We start from the raw sequence: 26,057 nt of genomic DNA, 5'->3' as shown, positions 1-26,057 counted from the left end.
AATGTAACAAAAATAAGACTCGAACAATGGTGTAAGGCCAGGATAAAAAGAAAAGCCATTGTGCAACAGAGAGAATGTTAAACATGGATATGAGCAGGAAGGTGCCTGATGGCATTTGTATTAGGATGATTTTTTTTTCTAGTGGCAATATGAAGAATGAATTGGAGTTAGGAAAGTCTATTAGGTGCTATGGGGAGTGCACAGTGTAAAACACAGGCCCTGTTCTTAAAAAGCTTACAATCCAGTTGGAAAGTAAAATATTAAAATTTGGAAGATGTATAATAATAACAATTTTCATATGACACAAACTTTGTGCATTTATTTGCCAAAATTTATTGAGCTTCAAATGTTTGGTAGGTGTTATGGTAAGTTCGGATATTTGTATATACAAAAAGGATATGTCCTTGTCCCTTATTAAATTGTAAACAAATGAGAAAAGAAGTATAGCTGCATTTCATGTATTTGGGACTTTACATTTTTAACATCCCTGAATAACATCAATATGTGATAATATATTTTTGAGAATAATTACTACAACTCTCAGAGAGTTGGCTGTCCTGAAAATTATATTGAGTCTCATTAATTTTATTAATAATCCTATCATTTCTTAAAGGGTAGCTCCTACTGAAGTACATTCAGAATATTAATTTTTGGCTGGGTGCAATGACTCACACCTGTAATCCTAGCATTTTGGGAGGCTGAGGCAGGTGGATTGCTTGAGCCCAGGAGTTCGAGACCATCCTGGGCAACAAAGGTACACCCCCATCTCTACTAAAAACAAAAAAAAAAATTAGCCAGGCATGGTGGAACACGCCTCTAGTCCCAGCTACCTGGGAGGCTGAAGTGGGAAGATCACCTGAGCCTGGGAGGTCAAGGATGCAGTGAACTGTGATTGCACCACTGTACTCCAGCCTGGGTGACAAAGCAAGACTGGTCTCAAAATTTTTTTTTTCAATTATTTCTATGCCATTATGGAAAATGAACATGGAATGTCAAGATGCTAATATTGGTATACACGGAATCCTGTGTATGTCAACAGAACCCTGTTAGAATACAGTAGAGAATAATCTTCAAGTAGGACAATTGCCTAGACATTAACATTACACCTACTGAATTTTTAATGTTTTTGCCAATGATTGAATAGAATAGCTTAAACTCAATTTCTGTTGTGGAAAAAATTAACAAATATTCTCATTTGATTTATCTGTCATATTGAAAAATAAAATCTAGATTTGGCCCTACTAATACTATCTTTATGATTTGTCTCCCATCTGTATTATTTTTGTCATCTTCATTCATTCATTTAAACAGAAAAGTTCTGTTTTTGTTTGTAACAGCATCATCACTTGTCTCCTCACATATTCCCTGCAATGGTCCTAAAGGCTGGAGCCAGGTTAAACGAATGAAAGTTCAGTTCTAATGATGTCATCCTCTTGTGAAAATTCCTGACTCGATTCCTGAGTCTCACATAAAATTTTTACTTCAATTGGTTATCAAAGCCTTTATGTCCTAGTACTAAACATATTTCTTTCAGCCTTTTTTACAGCCTTTTTATTTTAACAGCTATGAAGGTTTGGGTTCACTGAGTAGAAGAGTCCCTAAGACTTATTACAGTAAACACTCCTGAAAGACAGAGAGGAAGAGAGCAGGAGAAAGTGGGGGAGAAACTTTAGAACTAACTCCCATGAAGGCAAAATGGGAGGAAGGAGGATTGGGCAGGAAGAATCTCAGACTGCAACACACTTCCAAGAAAAGTTCAGCCAGGCATCCTAGAGGCAAAGTCTCCAGTTCAGGAAGACCCACGTCTTAAAAGAATGGGCCTGCATTAGTAATTCCACCATGCATAGTCACTCTCCAGAAATGGTTAGTAAGAAGCATGGCTTTGGTGCAAAGGCAGCAGTGGATGCGGAGAGGCTGTATTCAGTTATGAGTGAGCACACTTAAATGGTTGCTACAACAGCCAGTTATAAAATACCTATTCGCTTATGGCCATATATAGCCTGAGTTTTTTTCTATGTTCCGCTCAAGTGATTCCTTTCACTTAAAATGACTTGCATCTATGGTTGTCAAAATTCTACCCAACCTTTAAACCCCCAGGTCAGTGGCCTCATCTTCTGAGATATCTCCCATTGGAGCTTGTAAGCCCTACAGCACTTACCAATGTCACCTCAACTGTGATTTTTGTTTTAAAAGAAAACAACTCTTAGCTACATGGAAAGCTGACATTTAGAGCTAGAATCCCAAAGTTGCAAACGATTGTTATTTGTTTTATTTTCATGTTATAACATTGCACTTTAAAACAATGTCTACGTACCACATGAAATCATCCTTGAGATTTTCATGATACATATTAATATAATTAACAAAATATATTTTGCTAATTTACTTTTTAAAATATTTTTGACAGGACAATATTTGTGGAAGATTCTGGAACAATATTTTTAATTGCTTAGATAAATCAAACATAGATAGAGTCCTCAGAAATAGAGGCAACGGGGTGCATTAGCAATAGTTAAATCTTTAACTGATTCCTTCAATAGTCTCTTCTCGTATCTCTACAGTGATACTATAGACTGAAGCTTGGTTAGAAGATGTAGGTTCTTGATACATTGCTATGATAATCTTCAACATATTGAATACTGATATAATGTTAAAGATGTGCCAAGCACTTTTCTAAGTGCTTTGTATATATCGCTTCATTAAATCCTTGTAACAACACTATGGGTTAGATATTATAGCTACTCCATTGTGCAGATAAGAAACTGAGGCACAAGAAGCTAAATAATGATTCCAAGGTCACATTGCCAGGTTGTAATTTTGAATAACAGGCTGTGTTGATGGATAGATGAGGGAGGAGTGTAAGCAAAGAAATACATCCTCTTAATTTGCAAATATTTCCTGAGTCCTTCATTTTTCCTTATGTCAACTTGCATCACATCAGGACAAGCAAGACACTATCACCTCTCACGTACATTATTTGGCATGGCCACATCTATTCTCATTTTTCCACACCATAGCCAGTGTGACATTTTTTGAAAAATACAGGCAGATACATCATGTCTCTGTTTAAAACATATTAGTAACTTCACATTACTCTTAGGATAAAATAAATCATATTGGCATACAAGGCCCCACACTGTATGGTCTTTTAACCATTTAGCCTTATTGTACATCATTCTGCCTCTTCCTTGACTCTCCAGTTTTCTTGCCACATCGGCCTTCTTTCAGTTCCTCAGAAATACTCTAATTCTTCTTATCACAACACGAGTGTTTCTTCTGCCAAGAATTCCTCATCCCCACATAAATCTTAATCTTCCCCCAGATATTAGCTCAGTCATCACTTTTCACCTTGGACAAGAACCATTTTTTTTGTCACATGGACAGGTAGTAAGGTAGCACCTATTTGTGTCCTTCAGCAAGTCCTGTCTTTTCCCTTCATATCCACCTGTACGCGTTCTGTGAGGGTATGAACTTATAGAAGGCATATCATAAGTATTGGAAATATGGATTGATGAAGAATGAATCCATGAAATGCAAGTTGCATAACAATAAAATTGAAAGTTAGCAAACTGCTAAACTTTACCTGACAGCCTTGATTTCATACACCTACACATAACACATGCCCACATGCTCCCAACACAGATACACACACACACACACACACACACACACACACACACATACACACATGACATGAATGAAAGATATTAGAGGCTTGTAGAGTAGGCACATTATTGGTTGGGGACATTCTGCAATGATACTAGTACTATTGTCATGTTTCACTGTGGCAGTTATTGTCAATTGTGAATGTACATAAAAATCATCTCAGGGAACTTTTAAACATCTCTGTGTCTGGACCTCATCCCAGTTCAATTAAATTAGAATCACCATATTCCAGATGTATTTTTTCAAAGGTTCCCAGGTGATTTCAATGTGCAACCACGATGGATAATCACTATTGTCAGCCAAAGAAAGAATGAAATAAATTATATCTAAATGCTATAAATTACATTTTTTTCTATGGCTCAAGCAAAAAAATCTTAATGCTACATAATTTAGTAGAATTATGTGAAAACTGTTTATACAAAACACTACATTGTGTTAGGCCCATGATCAGCATTTTAAAATAGTATATGAGTCAATCTGTTAATATTTCCATAGTACTTACACAGATATAGAAATTTATATAGAGTGCTTGTATATATTGTATATTATATGCTTATATATTTTGGGGGTGATTTTTGTGAAAACTATGCATATATATACACATGCATATATATACACACATACATGTATATTTAATATCTCACTGGAAAATTTTTATAATTTATATAAAATATGTATAATTTTACTTATCCATTTCTTTCCTTAATATGCAAGTTATTTTGTTTAATTCATTGCACAGAAAAACACTGAAGTGTTCAATTCTATGAACTATTACTTAAATTATTTCTTGTTTCTGAAGTAAAACTATCTGAGAGCATTGGAATTCAGTCACCCTAATCACTGATTTTACATATTTACTGGGTGATACTTTATACACGATGACGATTTTTACAAATTATTTTGAAAGGAAGATTTTAAATAAGTTATACCTGGAAGGTCATATATATATTATGAAGCCACTGGTGACTTAGATATATTTTGTGACTAATATGATGAATAATAATTTAGTAATTTAATACAATGATTAAATCAAAATAAATTTAAATACATTATTATTAATTTAAAATAAATATATTCTACCTAGACAAAAGGAAATACATTTTACAGGCTAATGCTTTTCAAATTAAGATACAATTAATGGCTAACAGGCAAACAGTAAAGCAATACTAAAAATTAGCTTTTCATTGTTATTATTTTGCATAATTAAAACCCTTTTTTATTGAAACTGTTTAGAGCTTAGAATATATTTAGCAATATTCTGAATGGATAATATTAACAAGTGTAAAGAAAAATAATAATTTCTTTTTCAGAACAAATTAATTTGGTTGCATTGATACAGAAATAACAATTAGCTTCAGAGAAATTATGGAGGCTCAACCTTTTGCTAAAATGTGACAGCATTATGGGGAATGATCTGTATAGACAGATTATCTTCTTCAATTCCTTCTCCATATTCGAAGGCCAACATCTTCATTGGATATAGTTATGTGTTCTATAACCCATATGGGAATATTTGATTTTAACATGTGCCATGTTACATGAAAATTAACGATAGTTTGTTTCTTTCAATAAACTATCTTAAAAACTTCTATAGAAAAATTCTGGTAAATATTTTGCTGCAGAATTCTCAAGGGGAGTATATGCAAAAAGCTACAGTCCAAAAATTATAAATAATTATATGTACTGGAAAAAGTACATTTTGGCAACATAAAACATCTAAAAGACATTTTAAAAATTATCAGAAGTCATCATGTAATTATTAAGCTTGAGTTGTATGAAAAATGACTTTAGATGTTTCTTTTCTTTCTATTAGATAATTATTTTTAGAATGCAGTTTTAATATTGATACTGAACATAACACAGAAAAATATTTTTAAACTCATAACCTTGCTGCATCTATAAAGATATTTTTAGTAACCATTAGGAAGTAGTTGAATGTATCATTTTGATTTTGAAATTATTCTAGTCCAATTATTCACCCTACCTAATGAGCCCATTCTGCAAGGAAATCATCACAGCTGCAAGAAATATGAGAATCACATAATAAGGCAGCTAGAGTTTGGAAATATTGTGGCAATCTACAAAAATATATTCCTTTATAATGTGGAAGCATAAAGTGTGAATATTTTCCAGGAAAACATGGATACTTTCAAAACATAGATATTTAAAATAAACAACAATCCTGGGAACATGTTACTTGCTAAACAATTTAATTTAATTATAGTTAGAGATGTTTGAGAGAGGAATTTAAGTTTTGAGAGTAATGACATATTTTATACTTGCTCTATCATTCTGCTTGCAATTCTTAATTTCTTAGATTTAGTGACCACCCCTAAGACAGACCATCCTGACCATTTGATTTATTTAACAACTAAAATTTATTAAAAGTTTATCATTTGCCGAGCACTGTTATCTGCATTTTCTATTTAATCTTCACACAAATACTATGAGTTATATACTCTTTAAAGATGAGGATACTAGGACACAAAACATTTAAATATCGTTCTCTGATGTCATACTGGTGGTGATATGGTCTGGCTCTGTGACCCCACCCAAATCTCATCTTGAATTATACTCCCATAATTCTCACATGTTATGGGAGGGACCCAGGGGGAGATAATTTGAATCATGGGGGCGGTTTCCCCCATGTTGTTCTCATGGTAGTGAATAAGTCTCACGACATCTGATGGTTTTATCAGGGGATTCCGCTTTTGCATTTTCCTAATTTTCTCTTGCTGCCACCATGTAAGAAGTGCCTTTCACCTCCTGCCATGATTCTGAGGCCTCCTCAGCCATGTGCAACTGAAAGTCAAATTAAACCTCTTTTTCTTCCCAGTCTCAGGTATGTCTTTATCAGCAGCATGAAAACGGACTGATACAAGCGGCAACAGTGGATTGGGATTTGGGCCCAAGAAGACTCCTAAACCAGAACTCATTTGCATTTTGCTCTGTCGCCACCTCTGATAGTCTCACTGGCAATACTTTGGTTAATTAAAAGATAGTAATATATAAATCTTTCAATATTTATATGTTTATTGTCTGTATTCTCCTCTAGAATATAGGCTCTATTGTATCTCCAGTAGAGAGATGGTAAACTTTCTAGTATTTAGAGCAAAGGATAGATACCTGTGTTGAAAGATTAATGGATAATGTAAATGTTCCTTGGCTTATTATATTAAATATTTGCTAGTCCTTGTATTTAATTAGTATATTTTGCTGTGTATAGTAATATATTTTTAATTATAAAATATTTCATATTTCTATGAAAGCTAGATTACAATATTTTCACTAAGAATAGTTAAATTTATCTTCATAATTGTGTTCCTAAGTTTCAATTCATCAGCAATATATAAGACTTCTCAATTCCTAATGTTCTTAGCAACATTTGATATTGTCATGCTTTAAAGTTTTTTGATGGCTAAAACTTTCTCCTAAAGATGTTTTATTTTAATATCCTGGTTGTTCTACTTACTAATTCTATTGAACATTTTTATATGCTTATAGGACCTTTATATATATTCTCTTTCATGAATTTCCTTTTTATATTGTCCCTGAGGCTTGAGTATGAAGACAACAATATCAATTACAATGGTTTGCAAAAACTGAGTGACTGCAATGAATCCGATTCTGTTCTAAGTGTTTTACATATTAATTCTTATCATCTTCATCATAATACCATGAGATAATTATTCTAGTTGTCCCCAGTTTAAAGTAAATAAATTACAATATAGAGAGAAATAGAAACTTGACTATATCAATGGTAGCACTGGAGGAAACTCTTACTGACATATAAACAAAAACCAAAACAATGACAATCAATACAATAGATTATATTACATTATCTAATGTTTACATTAAAAATAAAGTTAAAAGCTAACTCACAAATTTAACTTCTGGCCCTGATGGAGTATCTGCTATCTGAGTAAGCTTCCTAATATGTATAACTGTAAAAGCTAAATAAAACAAATCAAATTCTTAAAGTCATCAGAGAGAAACTAAGGAAGCCTGGACTTGAGAACAAGATGTGAAAGAGATGGAAAGAGTACAAAGATTAACTCAACATTTGTTTCGACTTTCTCCATGCATTTCTGGAGAAATTTATTTGTTTCTTCTTTCTTCAGTCAAAAAATCAAAGTGAAATCTGGCAGCTAGGGCTGGCTACAGTCTCTGAATGACAGAGGCAGTAATTAGAGTTTAACCTTTTTATGGAGGCTTACACAAATGCATCAAGACCCTGGAAAGAAAGGAAGGAATTCCCTAGACAGAAAAGTTCTAGACATCTATCAGTTTTTCATATGCTTCAGAATACCTTTTTTCCTTGCTATTATTAGTAAATCTTGATTGTGACTGTGGTCTCTCATTTGTGTGAGCCTTATGTGATAATCTGACTACCTGTTTGACAAACTCAATCATTTGCGTTCTCTCAACAATAAGGTGACACACGGGGAAAAGGAAAAAAATGAAATATTTTACCCATAGAACAATAACAACAACAAAAATACTGGAGAAAGAAAATGAGAAAAAAAACTGATTAAACAAGTAAGAAAATATTAAAATTGTATCAAATAAAATCAGTTATTACATTGAGTATAAATAGATTAAATAACCAAAGTCAAAGATTAGCACATTGTAACCGAAAGAACCTTAGTGTAGCTGATTAATTAGATAAATCAGAGTTTATATAATTCTTAGTGTAGCTAATTAAATTAATTAGACTTTAGAGCAGTAAGCATTACTAAATAAAAGGAAATATTTAACAATCAATTCAGCAAGAAGAATTTTAAATGCCAAATATGTATCCATATAATGTCATTGAAGTAAGCCAAAATAGAGAACTAAAATGTATAGTAATTATATTGAAAGAAATACAACTGGTATTATTTTGGGATGACATAATTGTATACATAGAAAATACAAAAAATGTGGATTATTATGACAATTATTTATAAATATTTCACAAGGCTACTGGATATAGTCAATACATAAGAACTATTTTCTTTTTATTTATTGATGAAACAAATAGAAAATTTAAAAATGCCAATTGCAATAGCATAGGGAAATCAAATGCAAAGTGATCATTTCAGTAATATATATAAAAAAGTTCTAATAAAAATTTCAAACAAACATTACTCCGGAAGTTAAAATCTTAATAAAATGAAGCTATGTACTGTGTTCTGGATTAGAAGAGACAATGTTGTAAAGATATTAATTATCTAAAAAATTTTGTGTATTCAATACCATCTCAATTGATATTTCATTAGGATATTGGGGGAAAATTCAGAAAATTGCAAAAAAATTAAAAATTCATATGAAATACCAAAAGGATATTAATTTTTATGTTTACAATTTTTTAAAATTTAGAACAAGTATTTTTCATGTTCTGTTCAGGAAATATTTGTCTTCCTCAATAGTCATTGTTATGCTTATCTATTTTAGTTATGCTTGTCCATTATATTCTGAAAAGTTTATTGTTTTAATTTTTATATTTAATCCTATGATCCATCTAGATTGACTTTTGTGTATTGGTCATGGTCCATTTTTATATTTGTGGATATCAATTCCACCAACATTATTGCTTTAAAAAAATATTTTTTCTGCTACTGCAGTAACATCTTTTTCCTAAATCAAGTAAACTTAACTCCTTTTCATCAAAAGACAAGATTAAGAAAGTGAAAATGCAAGCCTCACAGTGGAAAAAGATCTGTAATGCAAATATTAACAAAGAATTAATAAGTATACTTTTTAAAATTGACAATTTATATCCATATTTAAAATTGATTACAAGAACTACTACAAATTGATAAAATGATATAATTAATAATAAGAGACATCCAATTAAAAATGAAGAGGTTTTTAACAGGCCTTCACAAAAAGGGAGATTCAAGTGGCCAAAAAACACATGAACAAATGCTTAGTTTTACCAGTCATCAGCATGGTGAAAACTAACAGAATGATGGGATACCATTACTCACTCATCAGGATGACTAAAATTAAAATGTTTCACAGTGACAAGTTGTGGAGAGATTATCAGACAACGGGGTTCCTCTCCTTTACTGGGGGAAATAAAAATTGGTTAAAAAAAAAACCTGGAAAGCTTTTTAGATGCATTTACTCAATTTCAATGTAAGTATATTCTATGACCCAGAAATTTTACATCTGGGTAAAATGAACTCATATGTACATCAAGAAAGTGTACATTGCAGCTTTATTCTTAAAATATTAGAACTGGAAACCATGCAAATTTTCATCAACAATAGAATGGAGCTATAAAAGTGGCATAATCATACACTGTAATAATATTTGCAATTTAAAAATGTTACCATCTCACCTAATTTCTGACTAAAAATGTCACAGATAACAACTTTAAATAATTTTTTAAATTATATTACTTAATTTATAAGTTCAAATCAGGAAAAACTTATTCTTTGAGGAATTAACTGAAAAAAATACGGTTAGCTTTTGGGGGGGGTGTACCTTTCGGGAAGTTGCATGAGAGGTTTTGGAGTGGAAGTGATATAGGTATACAGGGATATTCTTGTGATAAAATACCATCAAACTGAACACTTACATGTTTTACATTACATATACAATGTAATTTAATATGTATTTATATATTGTATATTAATGTAATATATATATATTATACTTTGAAACATTTATACAAAGTCATGTAACCTCTCAGCAATTAAGAAAAACAAGACACATATGGATGATGTTTACAGGATATATCACTAAGTAGTAACCAGAATGGATTAAACCATGTGCAGAACCTATTTTCAAATCCTACGGAAATATGCAGTTGGTCAGAAATATGAAAGCCAATGATAAGCCCATCCTCCTGGAAACTTTCTCCACTGTTACTTTACAAATACCAAAAGCTTCTGATTTTTCTCTCACCTATCTGGCCATTTCTTCTCTATTTTCTTTGTTTTCTCTTCATGTAACCAATACTAGAGCTACTTAAAGCTAGATTATGTTCTCTGTTACATTCTCTCTTCATAGTATCTTCCTAACTGATTATATCTAGGACTACGACTTTAAAAGCCATATAATTGCTGATAACTCCAACACTTTTACATATACCTCTAACATTGTCTTGAACTGTAGGCATGTATATTTAACTGCCTATTTATTTGCCCCACTTAAATGTGTAATAGTCCCTTTAAACATGATATATCCAAAATAGAGTTCTCAAGCTTTCCCCAAAAATAATTTTCAAACTTTTCTACCCTTAAAATTTACCCAATTATTTAACCAATTTATTTATCCCTAATTTATTCTTTCTTCTGTTTTTTTTTTTTTTCTGTTTTTTTGTTTTGTTTTGTTTTTTGGTGTTTTTTTTGAGACAAAATCTCACTCTGTTGCCCAGGCTGGAGTGTAGTGGCACAATCTTGGCTCACTGCAACCTCTGCCTCCCAGGTTGAAGCAATTCTCCTGCCTCAGCCTCCCAAGTAGCTGGGATTACAGGCACGCATCACCATGCCCAGCTAATTTTTGTATTTTTAGTAGAGACGAGATTTTTGCCTTGTTGGCCAGGCTGGTCTCGAACTCCTGGCCTCAAGTGATTTGCCCACCTCAGCCTCTCAAAGTGTCAGGATTACTGGCGTGAGCCACCACGTCCAGCCCTGATTTGTTCTTTCTATTCATATACCCCTATACATTCTATTAGTAAATTCCAACAGCAAGACTCCCAGAATATATGTGAGTATATTTCAAATATTTTCACTTTTATCTGTTTGAACTGAAACCTGTTAATTCAATCTACTACCTTGTACTTTTTGAATTTCTGAAATTTTCTTCTAATCATCTCCCTACCGCCACCTAACCTGACTCCAATCAATTTGCTACAAAACATCCAGAATAAATGTCATAGCAATCACATACCTATTATGAAATATCTCAGTGATTTTCCATTGCTCTTATAACAAACTTCAAATTTATTAAGTTTATTAAATTATCCTAGTGATCTGGTCCTTTCAGATAGATATCATATTCTCCAGAAGAGCATAAATCAATCAAAATATTTTCTACCCAACCCAAGGCACACAACGTATTCTAAAGTCTACTCTGTATCTAATTGGTGCTCAGTAAAAAGTTGATTTCAGGATCTCTTTGAAAACTTCACTGATGTTTTCACTTTAGTCTCCATCTAGTTAATTATTGTTGATACATGTGAATATCTACCTATACTTCTCTAAAAAGCCTATGAGATATATCATATCCTTTTGAAATAACCTCAACCTTCACATTTACTTATCCTTTCTAATCCCCATTTCCTATGTCAAGCTACCTAATGAAAGAACAAGATTTGAAGTTTATGGTTTTTAATTTTAACTATGCCTGCACTCAAAACACGATCCCTCCATATGAATAGAGTTGTGTAAAATAACATCCCTAAGTTGAATGTGTGTTGTAGAACATTTTTAATGCTATTTGGCTACATTTATTTTGTATTAAATTATAATTGTATAATTGTGTAATATGTGTGAAGCATACTTACTTATTGGGAACAATGTACTTATTCCATTTTAGTTGATTCATTGACTGATATAGGAGCTCACTGTGGGCAGAGACTTTGCCTAATTCATCACTGTGTCATCGGTGCCAATAATAATTCCTGACACATAAAGGTCATTCAATGAATAATAGTTAAATGAATGAATGAATAAATGAGTTGTCATTTTATTTTCACATCAGTTTTGGGAGACAATTCTTCATGGGTCTCTCATATTTCTGCACATCTTTAAAGTCAAGTTACTGAGTGTCCTTTTTTCCGGAATATATTTAAAAGGAGGTTATTTTAACAGAAAGACTAAGAACAGAGAGATAGTTCTTGTCTCCAAAATAAAATGCAGTCATGCTTAAAAGCATAAAGATAATATCTCCTTCCCGAGCAATGGGTATGCATTTTTATTGTCCATTATAAATTATAGTTCTTTTCTATAATACAATCTACTGCATGTACAGGTTTCAATTAACCCTTCTCAAAGCAAAATTTTATGAGGCAATTGTAAACAGGCAAGAAATACTTTATTGAAGGCTTGCAATCAGGAAGAGAAGATAAAACTGTGACTGAACTCAACTCTTCTAAAACAAAGGTGGTAGAGTTTTGGGGAACTAGATTGGGTAGGTGGATCATAAGCGATCTGTGTTTGCTAATTGGCCTTACTCAAAAGAATGGTTAACTTTCTTCTGTCTTTATTTCAAAAAGTAGTTTTATAGCTTGCAGCAAGGTACCAACTGAAATTAGGCTCCTATACTTTCAGGAGTCTGGGAGATAGAATATCTTAATGACTAAATTTCAAAGGAACTGCAGCTCCCGAGTCCTTGAGAAAGATAGTCCTGGGTTGTGAAACTGGCAAGAGGTTTTATCGAAGATTTACATCTCAAAGAAGCAGAGAAATAATTTACAGTTATAAGTTTTCTAAAGTAAATGCTCTAAGGAAAATGAAGTCAGGGCTCTAGACACAGGACAAAACTGTCTGAAGTTTGATCAAGAGAAGGGAAACAGTAAGGTCACTTTGATTACCTTCTTTGGATCACCCTATGGGAATTGGGGCGTGGGGAACCAGCAACAGAAACAAAAATTGATGGTACTCTGATTATTGCTGTTGCTATGAGTAATAAACTGTATTTCTTCTTTGATCTAGGAGTCATGTCTTAATCAATATGCATAAATTTGTGGCAGTCTAATTTGTCAGCTTGGTAATAGGGTAAAACTCACAGATGCTTCAGACTTCTTTATAATCAGGCTTCAAATTGTACCCTTTTAGGAAATATTCATCAGAATTTCTGTACAGCTAAAGAGCACATCAATCAATATTTACATTATATTTAAATATTTAGCAACTGTTGAGCATTTAAGAAAATTTATTTATGAAGATGTGAGTTTACTAGAAAAGCAATGAGTACTAGTTATATATATCTTCCCATGGATGGCTCTCTATTAATTGTATTTAATTGCTTGTGTTTAGTAATTTTAGCTAATAATATGAAAGATGTCATATTTTCTAAGCTTTACATAAGTTTATTTTAACCTTTTTGGGAAACCAAAGCACAGAAAATACTATTCTGAAATTCAGATTGGTAATATTACATTGCTTTAAGGTAACATTGTTGTAAGTAACAAAGTATTTTAAATAGCAGTGTAGAAATGCTCTTTAAAAGTAGAGGCCCAAGACGTCTTACCTTTGATTCTTAGTATCTGTTTCTTCATATGGTCATAAATATGGGAATTAGTATTATTTTATAAAGCATCTAGGTCATAATACTATTTTTGGCTCCCAATTTTGTTTTCACTTTAATGGAATGATTCAATTAATGGTAGGTAGTTTCTATGAGATTGTAATAGTTTTCTTAACAACTGAAGTCTATGCTGAATGAATTCATAGTTTTGTACTGTTGCTTTGATTTTTAAAATCTCACTGTGAAATAAATCTATTCAATTTTTAATTTTTTTTCATTTTATTATGTTAGGGACACTTAACATGAGATCTACCCACTTAACAGATTTTTAAATGTACAATATGATATTAACTATAGGCACTACATTCATTTATCTAATATTTTAGGTGTAACAGTACTTGAAGGCCCTATTTATGCTGTGGGAGGCCATGATGGCTGGAGCTATCTGAATACAGTGGAAAGGTGGGATCCACAGAGTCAACAATGGACATTTGTAGCCAGTATGTCAATTGCTCGGAGCACAGTTGGTGTAGCAGCATTGAATGGCAAGTAAGTAAATTTTTTTCTTATTTTTTAATCTTAGAAAAAAAGTTATTGGGTAAATATTATTTGAAAAATAAGTTTTAATAAGCTGGTAAAAATTGTTTTAAAACATTTTAAGCTGTTGATATTTTTAAATTGACAAATAAAGACTGGTGCTCTCTCTATAGACAACGGAACCCAAAATTGCTTCACATTAATTGATGATTAAAGAAGTATCAAATACATTTCATGGGAATATTTATATCACTTTTGAATAAATAGTTGAGTAGCCTTCAAAAAACTACTAAAAGTTTGGTGTTCAATATATCTTTCTTTACATAATTACACTAGTTTACTTTCCAAGCATCTTCATTCCTATCCCTCTAAATCAAGAATTCTCAACCTCAACACTATTGATATTTGAGGCTAGATGAGTCTTTGTTGAAAGAAGTCTTCTGTCCTGTGCATTTCAGAGTGTTTAGAAGTGTCCTGGGTTTCTACCCACTAGATGCCCCTCACCCACCACCTCATTGTGACACGCAAAAATATCTCCAGATATTGTCTACTATCCCCTGGGAAGTGGCAAAATACAGCCCCTGTCTTCCCCATGAGAACCACAGATCTAAACAAAGCTAGTATCACCTCTTGTCTAGAAAACTGCAACAGCTTCTAGTCTGATCTTTTAAATTATTTTCTCTTCAGTCTTATTTATGAAGGCTTCCAGAGAAATCCTTTTACAAATGCAAACAATATGTCAATCCTCTTCAAGGACTTGTCTTTTATGATCTTTGTTGATTTAAAGTCTATTTTGTCAGAAACTAGGATTGCAACCCCTGCTTTTTTCTGTTTTCCATTTGCTCAATAAATTTTCCTCCATCCTTTTATTTTGTCTGTGTATGTCTTTGCATGTGAGATAGGTCTGTTGAATACAGCACACCAATGAATCTTGACTCTATCCAGCTTGCCATTCTGTGTCTTTTAATTGGGGCATTTAGCCCATTTACATTCAAGGTTAATATGGTTATGTGTGAATTTGATCCTGACATCATAATGCTGTCTGGTTATTTTGCAGACTTGTCTATGTAGTAGCTTCATAGTGTCACTGGTCTGTATAGTTAAGTGTGTTTTCGTTGCGGCTGGTAACAATTCGTCCTTTTCATATTTAGTGCTTCCTTCAGGAGCTCTTGCAAAGCAGGCTTAGTGGTGACAAATTCCCTCAGCATTTGCTTGTCTGAAAAATATTTTATTTCTCCTTCACTTATGAAGCTTAGTTAAGCTAGCTATGAAATTCTAGGTTGGAAATTATTGTCTTTAAAACTGTTGAATACTGACCCCCAGTCTCTTCTGGTTTATAGGGTTTCTGCTGAGAGGTCTGCTATTAGTCTGATGGGCTTCCCTTTACAGGTGACCTGGCCTTTCTCTCTGGCTGCCCTTTGCATTGTTTTCTTCATTTCGACTTTGGCGAATCTGATGATTATGTGTCTAGGGGTTGGTCTTCTTGTGGAATATCTTACTGGGGTTCTCTGGATTTCCTGAATTTGGATTTTGGCCTGTCTTGGTAAGTTGGAAAAGTTCTCCTGGATGATATCCTGAAGTGCGTTTTCCAACTTGGTTCTGTTCTCCCCATCTCTTTCAGGTACCCCTATCAGATGTAGGTTTGGTCTTTAAGCACAGTCTCATAGTTCTCAGAGGTTTTGTTGATTCCTTTTTGTTATTTTTTTCTCTAATCTTATCTGCCTGCCTTGTTTCAACAAGATAGTCTTCAAGTTATGATATTCTTTCTTCTGCTTGGCTTATCCAGCTACTGATACTTGTGTTTGCATTGTAAAGTTCTGTTGTGACTGACTTTCAGCTCTATCAGGTAATTTATGTTCCTCTCTAAATTGGTTATTCTGGTTAACAGCTCCTGTAGTGTTTTATCATGGTTCTTAGTTTCTTTGCAATGAGTTAGGACATAACCCTTTAGCTCAGTGAAGTTTGTTGTTACCCATCTTCTGAAGCCTGCTTCTCTCAATTCGTCCATTTCAGCCTCCGCCCAGTTCTGTGCACTTGCTGGAGACATGTTGCTATCATTTGGAGAAGAAGAAGCACTCTGGCTTTTTGAGTTTTCAGCATTTTTGTGTGTAGATTCTTTCTCATCTTCATGGATTTATCTGCCTTTGATTTTTGAAGCTGCTGACTGTTGGATGGGGTTTTTATGGGGTCTTTTTCATTGATGTTGTCGTTGTTGCTTTCTGTTTGTTTTTCTTTTAGCAGTCAGGCCCCTTTTCCATAGGGATGCTGCAGTTTGGTGGGAGTCCACTTCAGATGCTATCTGCCTGGGTCCGTCCCGCCCCTGGAGATACCATCATTGGAGGCGGCAGACTAGCAAAGATGGCAGCTTGCTCCTTCTTCATGGAGCTCTGTCTCAGAGGGGCACCAACCTGATGCCAGCCTGAACACTGCTGTACAAAGTGTCTGGAGACTTCTGTTTGCAGGTCTCACCCAGTCAGGAGGAGCAGGATCAAGGACCCACTTAAATAAGCAGTCTGACTGCAGCTTGGTGGGGCAGGTGTGCTGTGCTGGGGAAAATCCCCCTCGTCTGGGCTGCCCTTACTCTCCAGAGCCAGCAGCCAGAAAAGACTGAGACCACTGATGCGTGATACTACAGCTGCCCCTCCTCCTATGGGCTCCTCTCAGGGATATCAGAGTTCTCTTCATAAATCCCTGGCTGGGGATGCTGAAATTCCCATGGGGAGGCCCCCTCTAGTGAGCAGGAGTGGATCAGGGTCCTGCTTAAAGAAGCAGTCTGGCCACGAACTGACCCAGTCACTGTGTTCCCCTGTGAGAAGTTTGCTCCCAGTCCAGACCGCCCAGTCTTGCTGGCACCAGCAGCAGAGGGAAACAGCTGACTGGAGCCACAGTGATGGCAGCAGCCCTTCCCTCTCTGGGAACCCATCTTCTTAGGCAGTCTCTAGCCTGCTGTGCTGGCCGCCAGAGATTCCAAGCCATTACGTTTTAGCTTGTGGGGTTCCGTGGGAGCGAGGCCACTTGGCTCCCTGGCATCAGCCTCCTTCCCACGGGAGTGGACGGATCTCCTGCCTCATGGGAGTTTCCAGAGCATAAGTATGCAAATACTCCTGTGTCCAGTGCCTGCTCCAGCAGCTGCCTGCCCGAGCAGCCACCATGAGTCTGCACAGCTTTGTGCTTGTGACTGAAGGCCCTGGTGGTATGGGCTCATGAGGGGACCTCCTGATCTGTGGATTGCAAGGATCCATGGGAAAAGCATAGTTTTCAAGGAGGGGTAGCACAATCCCTCACTGCCTTCTTTGGCTAGGAAAGGAAGCTCCCAGTGCCCTGTACATCTCCTGGTGGACCTTCACTCCACCATGCTTTTCCTCACTTTCCGTGGGTTGCGCCAACCACCTAGTCAGTCCTAATAAGAGAAAATTGGTACCTCAATTGAAGATGCAGAATTCACTTGCCATTTTTTCCTTCTCACTGGGAGCCGAGAGCAGAGCTGTTTCTATTTCCCATATTGGCTACTCCCTCCTATTGTCTCATTCTTATGCCTTTGTATCCTCACAGCTTATCTCCCACTTACGAGAGAATATACTATGTTTGGTTTTCCATTCCTGAGTTAATTCTCTTAGAATAATGATCACCAGTTCCAACCAGGTTGCTGCAAATGCCATTATTTCATTTCTTTTTATGGCTGAGTAGTATTCCATGGTGTGTGTATATATATATACATATATATATCTCACAATCTCTTTATCCAATCACTAATTGATAGGCATTTGGGCTGGTTCCATATTTTTGCAATTGCAAATTGTGCTGCTATAAACAGGCATGTGCAAGTATCTTTTTTGTACAATGACTTCTTTCCTCTGGGTAGAGGCCCAGCAGTGGGATTGCTGGATCAAATGGTAATCCTACTGTTAGTTCTTTAAGGAATCTCCACACTGTTTTCCATAGAAGTTGTACTAGTTTACATTCCCACCAGCAGTGTAAAGGTGTTCCCTTTTCACCACATCCATGCCAAAATCTGTTTTTTTTAAATCTTTGGATTATGACCATTCTTGCAAGAGTAAGGTGGTTAAATCCATTGTGGTTTTGATTTGCATTTCCCTGATCATTAGTGATGTTGAGAATTTTTTCATATGTTTGTTCCTCATTTGTATATGTTCTTTTGAGAATTGTCTATTCATGTCCTTAGCCCAATTTTTAATGGGATTGTTTGTTTCTTTCTTGCTAATTTGTTTGAGTTCCTTGTAGATTCTGGATATTAGTCATTTGTTGGAGGTATGGATTGGGAATATTTTCTTCCGCTCTGTGCGTTGTCTGTTTATTCTGCTGATTGTATCTTTTGCTGTGCAGAACTTTTTTAGTTTAATTAAGTCCCATTTATTTATCTTTGTTTTTGTTGAATTTGCTCATAAAAAGTGACTTAACACTGTATATGTGCATACACACAGATACACATATACAATGAATACATATTCACATTATATATTTTGTTTAATGCAAAGGTAAGGCATATTTCTTATAATAATTGTTTTTCAAAATTTCTTTTAGTTAGTTATCCTCTAAATTAAACTTTGGTATACATTTTTCAGATTTTAAAAAGTCATCTTAAACATCCCTTCAGAATTTTCCCTGTAAATAAATATTTACAGATTAATTTGAGAAAGATGTGGGATCTCTAAATTTGAAATATTAATATTTTCTTCTGAGAAGATAGTTGTACTTTTATCTTTTAAAATTACTCTCCTTGTATTTTAGTGCTGTTTAAATTTGGCATGGTTATTCTTTCTTTCTGAGGTTATTCATGTTTATTTATATTTTTTAATATTTTACATATTATGTGTTTATTTATATCTATTTATACATTAATAATTACATAATTAAATTATAAAAGATAATTTATATATAACCATTTAACTAAATGCATATGTTATATTTACTATTCAATTTATAATAGATTTTCTAGAAAGATAAACATTTAATAAACTAGTAAGGAAACTTTTTCTGTTTTCTTAATATACATTTATTTCCTTTTTATTGTGTTGTTTATATTTTTAGAATGATTACCTAAATAGTAGTGATATCAGGTGTCCTTATCTACCTATTTTAATTGAAAACCTTTATAGTGCTTTATAGTCTCTGATATCAGTTGTTATTTGAGATACATATATTGATTAAGGTTAAAGGCAGTATTTTATTGTCTGTAGCTTCCATAGTGGAAATTTTATTTTCTAAAATTAGCATACATTTTATGAATTTGTCAAGATGATGATTGTTTTCTTATTTGATCTGTTTATGTGGTAATTTGCATAAATACTCTAACTATAAATCATATTACACATCTAAGTAAATCCTACTTGCTCATATTGCATTAATTCTTTAATTTTTGCATTCCATATTCCAGCTATGACTTTGCATCAAAGTTGCTTATAAATGATTTCACAACATTCTTCATTATGATATAAAATCTTATTTTAGCATAACATCATGGCATGAAGAAGCTTTCTACAATTTATCTGCTATAATTGACTTTAATCATGAGAAGTGTATTTTCTTGAGCATGAGAAAGAAATGACAGTAGAAGTTTTATGGACACTATTATATATAGTACCTTTAATATTCTATTTTACTGATATTCTAAAGTTTAACAGATGGCAGTCACATATCACTTCTAATTTCATCACTGCCACAAATCATTTATTTAGTATTGCTGTATCTTCATTCTATATTGTGATTGTCCTAATTTGTTATTTTTCTCTGTTAGTATTATCACTAATTTCATCTTGTCATAGCATTTGCCAGTGTCATTATATGGTTTTGTTTTTATTTTTAGTCAAACAAGCATACACGGAGGCTATGTTTATTTTCTTTCTTATTTTCTTAATAATTTTCGTTTGACTTAGTTCTACTTACTCGTCTTTAAATTCAGAATTTAACAAATTATAGTATTAATAGTTCTTGGAGTTTATTTTTCTTTATTACTGTGTTAGTTCATTCTCACATTGCTATAAAGAAATACCCGAAACTGGGAAATTTATAAAGAAAAAGCTTTACTTGGCTGTCACTTCTTCAGGCTATGTAGGAAGCATGATGATGGCATCTGCACAGCTTCTAGGGAGGCCTCAGGAAACTTACAATGGTGGCAGAAGGCCAGGGGGGAGCAGGCACATCACATGGTGAAAGTCGGAGCAAAAGATCCAGGTGGGAGGTGCTACACACTTTTAAACAACCAGATCTCACGAGCACTCACTCATTATTGTAAGGACAGTACCAAGAGGGATAGTGCTAAACCATTCATGAGAAATCTGCCCCCATGACCCAATTACCCCCACCAGGCCCCACCTCCAGCACTGGGCTGTACATTCCAATATGAGATTTGGGTGGAGACACACATCCAAACTCTGTCAATTATTATACTACAATTTAATTTATTCATTCTCCTACACTCAACTACTGAGTGTAGTTGGATATTTCAGTTGTTTCCTCTTCTTGACTATTAAGAATAATGCAGTTATGAATATTCTTATGTATATCTTTTGGTGAATGTACATACACATTTTAGCTGGCTGTAGACCTAGAACTTAAATTACTAGGCTTTACTTATTCTTGTGCTCAGCTTTAGTAGATACTGCTCAAATGTGTTTGTAAGTGGTTTTCCTAATTTGTCCACACACTAACAGATTTTTAAATTCTGAATGCTCCATGTGCCCTACTGACTTGGTAACATCCGACTTGTCTTTTATTTATCTTTATCCATTCTGATGACTAGTGCTATCACATTCTCTAAGAACTGATGTGATCAAACATCTTTAATATATGTATTAGTCATTTGTATATCTTCTGTTGAAGTTTATTTTCAAAATTTTCTCTGTTTCTATTTCTGTGTGTTCTCTTTTTCATTTTGATTTATGGAGTTCTTCATGTATTCTGAAAATTAATCATTTCCAAGTGAATGCATCTCACTTTATTATTATTACTTTCCAGTAAGTACGTGTTGATTATGTAATTTATTAGATTCTATGTCTGAAAGGGACTTTCCTGTGTCTTCTCACATTGTTTGCAAATTAGCTTAAGTAATTTAATATCTCTGCCTTGTATTTTTAAAATTCAATAGATATTATTTACTTACATTCTATCTTTTTGGGGGAGTGGGGGAGATATGTAAGTTCAGTGATTTTTTTTTTATCTTTCATATGTGTTTGTATAACCCAAACTTTTATTCTTATAGATGTTTTTACTGTGTTTATATTAGTTAACATTCAGTCAAGAGCCAGAAATCAGAACAGTCATTTATCAGTTATTCTAAACAAAGATATTTTAATATTAAATATAAAGTTTTGTTGAGTAAGTAAAAAAACTTACTAGTTAACCAAAAATCAACAAAATAACACTATATTGTAATTTAATCAACTCACAATAATAGCTACCTCTCCTGGGGGTGGAGAACTAAAAGACATGGTTAAAATGATTAAGATTTAGAAGCTTGGGGAAGGGCCCTGTGCACTGAAATTCAGTCAACTGCTATTTGGGCCACTGCTTAGCTGGAGCTAGTCTCAGAAGGAAAGACCTGGGACCCAGTGCTCTGAGAAGAAGATGCCAATCTGCTGGCGCCAATGGCTTAGAGTAGTCTCAATGAAGCCGATGGCGTGTCTTAGAAAAACCGCAAACTAGGTGTGTCTGGTGCTACAGAGCAACTCTTGCTACAGGGCTGCTACGGTGAGAAAAGGATGGGGTGACACTCACAGGAAAAAAAAAAAAGCAAACAAACAAACAAAAAACCAAGACCCTTTACTCTCCTCTAGTCTTTCAGTCTCTGCCACCCACTGATGTCAGATCCTAACAGGGAACCAGGTGGCAAAGCAGAAAAGTGGTTTTCAGAGATTTAGCCCTTATTTCAAAAGCAGAAAATACAGGAGAGGATGTAGACCTGAGAGACAACAGCTTAAAAAGTTTGTACTTCCTCCTCAAAAATCAAAATGTTTCTGGATGTACAATCTGAAGCCTACTTCTCATTCTTTTAAATTACTACTTGGAGATTCATTTTAACGATCTCAACTCTGTCTTTCTTCTGCTTAGGAAAGTTTTTAGTCTATTGAGACTCGTTTGTTTAATTGTTCCTTTTCCCATTATTCTAGTTCTCTGATTTGAGATATATTTTAGCACATACTTACGTTAATGGTTCTATGTGTGTTTTAAGACTGATTTCTTTGCCATAAGTCTCCTTCGCCAGTTAAAAAAATACATGAATTCAATCAATGCCAATTTGTTTATGATCGTTTGTATCTCCGATGCAGACTTAAAATTTTTGCATTTTAACTTTTCTTACACGATATCTTTATTTGACTCCCCTCCTTCCAATCACCTTTATAACCACCTTATTTTGAGTGTGTTATCTTGTATCTGTCAAGTCTTTATCATCTTTAAAGTCTTTTTATCATCTTTAAAGTCTTTAAAGTATATGTTTTTAGGTCAAAAAATAAAATATTTTTATATGATGGAAAAACTTCTACATGCTTTGTTTTACTTTGTTTTTCTATTTACTACTTGTGATTTTCCCTGTCACATAATATTTAAGTCTCTTAATTTTTTTCAAGGTACATTTATTTGCTCTCAAAATCCTGCTCTCAAATGTTTTGCTAGAAGTTTCCTTAGTGTCAATATCCATTATTATTTTTAAAAAGCTATTAGATAAGAAAGAAAAGGTGAACCAGAATCACAAAAAGCTAAAGCAAATAGCTACTTGTCAATTCAATCTCTTTTTTGTATTTGGTAAAGCTTTATTCTGCAGTAATGTATAAAGTGTTCGCTATTGAACTTTACACTATAATCACTCTCAATATCAAAAAATATCTGTAACCATTTCTGCTAGACTTCTTTTGGCTATAGTTGCTGAGAAAAACTCCAAATCCTACTATCACCACTGCTTTGGAAGGCTGCTGTGTAGAAGTGAAAAGGAGTTAAAATCATACACAGCCTATAGTGATGGGCTGCTTGCATAAAAAATGGTTGGTTGTTCTTCCATTACCTTCTGAGGAATACTGAGACTTCTAGAAGGAATTAAAATATTTTGTTACCAACTTTCAGTCCTATCTGCAAATTTTCTAAAAGTAATTTCTTGGAATTGTTTCTATATGAAGTAGTTACCTTCTGCTTCTCACTCCTCTCAAATACAATTTTTATTCCGTTGTGCCTTTTAATGACATTCATAGAAAAATTATGTTCATTTGTGTTAATATTGTCACTTTACTCAATAGAAAATGTATATATTTAATAATACACACATTTTATTAACACCAATTTGTGTAACATGTAAATATATACATTTATTAATACTACTTTTTCTATTTATATTCACATTTTCTCTTGAAAATGATTTTTTAAGCATTACTATATTTTTCTTTAAAGACACTTAATTTGGAAGTCAATGATAAAATTTAACATTCTTCAATATTAAATATTAAAAGTAAAACTATCCAGTGGGTATATCTATTCATGGATAGTAAAACTTACAATAATAGTAGAATGAATGTTCTCCGTCCAGGCACAGTGGCTCACCCCTGTCATTCCAACATTTTGGGAGGCCGAGGTGAGAGGATTGCTTGAGTCCAGCAGTTTGAGACCAGCCTGGGCAACGTAGTGAGACCCCATCTCTACAAATAATTTTAAAAATAACTGGGCATGGTGGCATGCTCCTGTAGTTAAAGCTACTTAAGAGGCTGAGGGGCTGAGGTGAGAGGATTACTTGAATCAGGAAGTTGAGGCTAGTGAGCTGTGATCATGCCACCTGCTCTATAGCCTGGGTGATAGAGCAAGATCCTGTATCCAGGAAAAAAAAAGGAATGGATGTTCTCTTGGATGTAAATTTTTATAATTCTAATAGAGGATAATAGAGGAAAGCATAATACTTTTTGCCTTTTTATGTTTTCTAATCACTATAAGTAACAGTCGGTTATTTAGTGACTTTTTCTTACCATTTACATTGACAGCAATAGATTTATTCCTGGTATTGTTTTTAAAATGGATATCTCATTAACACAGCAAATTTGCCTAATATGGGTGAGAAGTATCCTGTCCTTTCATTATCTTATTCACTTTTTACATTATTTTGTAATGAAAACACACACACACACACACACACACACACACATTAAAGTGTTAGTACATTACTTATCCATATTTTTTGGATAATTAGCTTGCATTATAGCTCTGTGACCTTCTTTATGACTTTACTTTGAATAACCTTAAAATATGTATTTTGTTGTAAATATTCTCCAATCTTAATCAGAAATAAATGGAGAAAATATTTAACGCAGAGTCTTGTGGCAATTTCTTACATGTTGTTATGACTAAATTGTCTATCTAGTTTCTTCTACTGTCGCTTTTAAATTGACTATACATAGAAATCACTATTCAGATTACTTTTCCTGTACTTGTATTTTTTGGTCAGCTAGCATACATCATATATTAAGAAATCCTGTTTTGCTCTAGTATCTTTCTTCGTAAAAAATATCAGAGTGTGATATCAATACTCTTTGAAGTTTTTAATTCTTACATTGCCAAAATTGCTTACACTTTAATTAAATATGAATTTTAATTCTATTCTGTGAAAATGTTTTGAATGGCTCCATTTTTTACTTGATTTTTTTTCCTTTAAATTGAGTTAGTAGAGCTTTTACTTGGCATCTTTTTCTTCTCCCTGGGTGTGATTTAATGGCTTTAAAATTCTGTGGTTTGATGACTGGCTATTAATGTCTGGGTACTTTTCCTATGTTACTCAGAAACATAATCATTAGAAAATGACCTTTTACTTCAGACCCATAGCAGAAAATTGTTTTAACATCACCCTCTTACATTTTTTTGTTTGTTTTTTTCCTCACCTCTGCTGACGTGATTTTTTCCCCTTGTTTTGCTATCACGTAACACTAATGTGTCATTCTAACCTGGCTGTTGTTTCCCTAAATATTATTTTCAACACTTTTTCCAATTAAGAGTAATAAAAAACAATGAACACTTATCTTAAGTTTAGGTTATTCATGACACTATTTCTTGTGGAAGAAAAAACCAAGAAATTGGTTTATGGCTTAAAATTAATGAGTGTGTTCTGACGGATTCAAGACCAAAATTGCATCAATTTCATATAACAAATTTAGTGAGGCTTCTAGTAAGACAGATTAAGCTAAGGGGTATATATGCCAGCACAGCCAGACTCACTTGGTGAATAAAGAAAACACACACAAAAAAAGTGAATAAACGTCGATGTGTGGTGCTTGGCCAAATATAACCTCAGATTCCCCAAACAATATAGACAGACATTAGTGGTTATTTTTGTTTCTTCTTTGGTAGCTGTCTTGGCTTGGTTCTTTTGCACTTTACATTCTAGCTAAGATGTCTTTTTGTGATTTTTAAAAAATTTTCTTAGCTCACAAACAGATACTGATTCTGCCTGAACACATCTTATAAGTAGGCTTGAATTTTAATAAATATGTAGTACCACCCCCTTAAGAATCTGCAAAATGTATAAAAACAGAGTTTCTTTCATGATTTACTATGGGAAAATGGATTCATTCATTCATTCATTCAAATCTTCATGTTAATAATTTTTTTTTTGAGATGGAGTCTCGCTCTGTCACCCAAGCTGGAGTGTAGTGGCACAATCTCAGCTCACTACAACCTCTGCT

The 26,057-nt window shown here is 33.7% G+C and overlaps 1 protein-coding gene across 4 annotated transcripts in view; it reads left to right on the top strand.

The window, feature by feature from the left end:
• Positions 1-26,057, top strand: part of KLHL1 (kelch like family member 1) — a 407,856-nt gene that overhangs the window by 353,659 nt on the left and 28,140 nt on the right. For all 4 annotated transcript variants that reach the window (NM_001286725.2, NM_020866.3, XM_017020678.3 and 1 more), the window contains one exon: positions 14,238-14,400. In NM_001286725.2, the coding sequence (NP_001273654.1) occupies positions 14,238-14,400 (163 nt within the window). The remainder of the gene's footprint in view (positions 1-14,237; positions 14,401-26,057) is intronic.

Source organism: Homo sapiens, chromosome 13 (assembly GCF_000001405.40).
Source record: "Homo sapiens chromosome 13, GRCh38.p14 Primary Assembly".
In the NCBI taxonomy this organism is placed as follows: domain Eukaryota; kingdom Metazoa; phylum Chordata; class Mammalia; order Primates; family Hominidae; genus Homo; species Homo sapiens.
The sequence above is the reverse complement of the archived record's forward strand: the minus strand, read 5'-3'. Positions and strand labels throughout refer to the sequence as shown.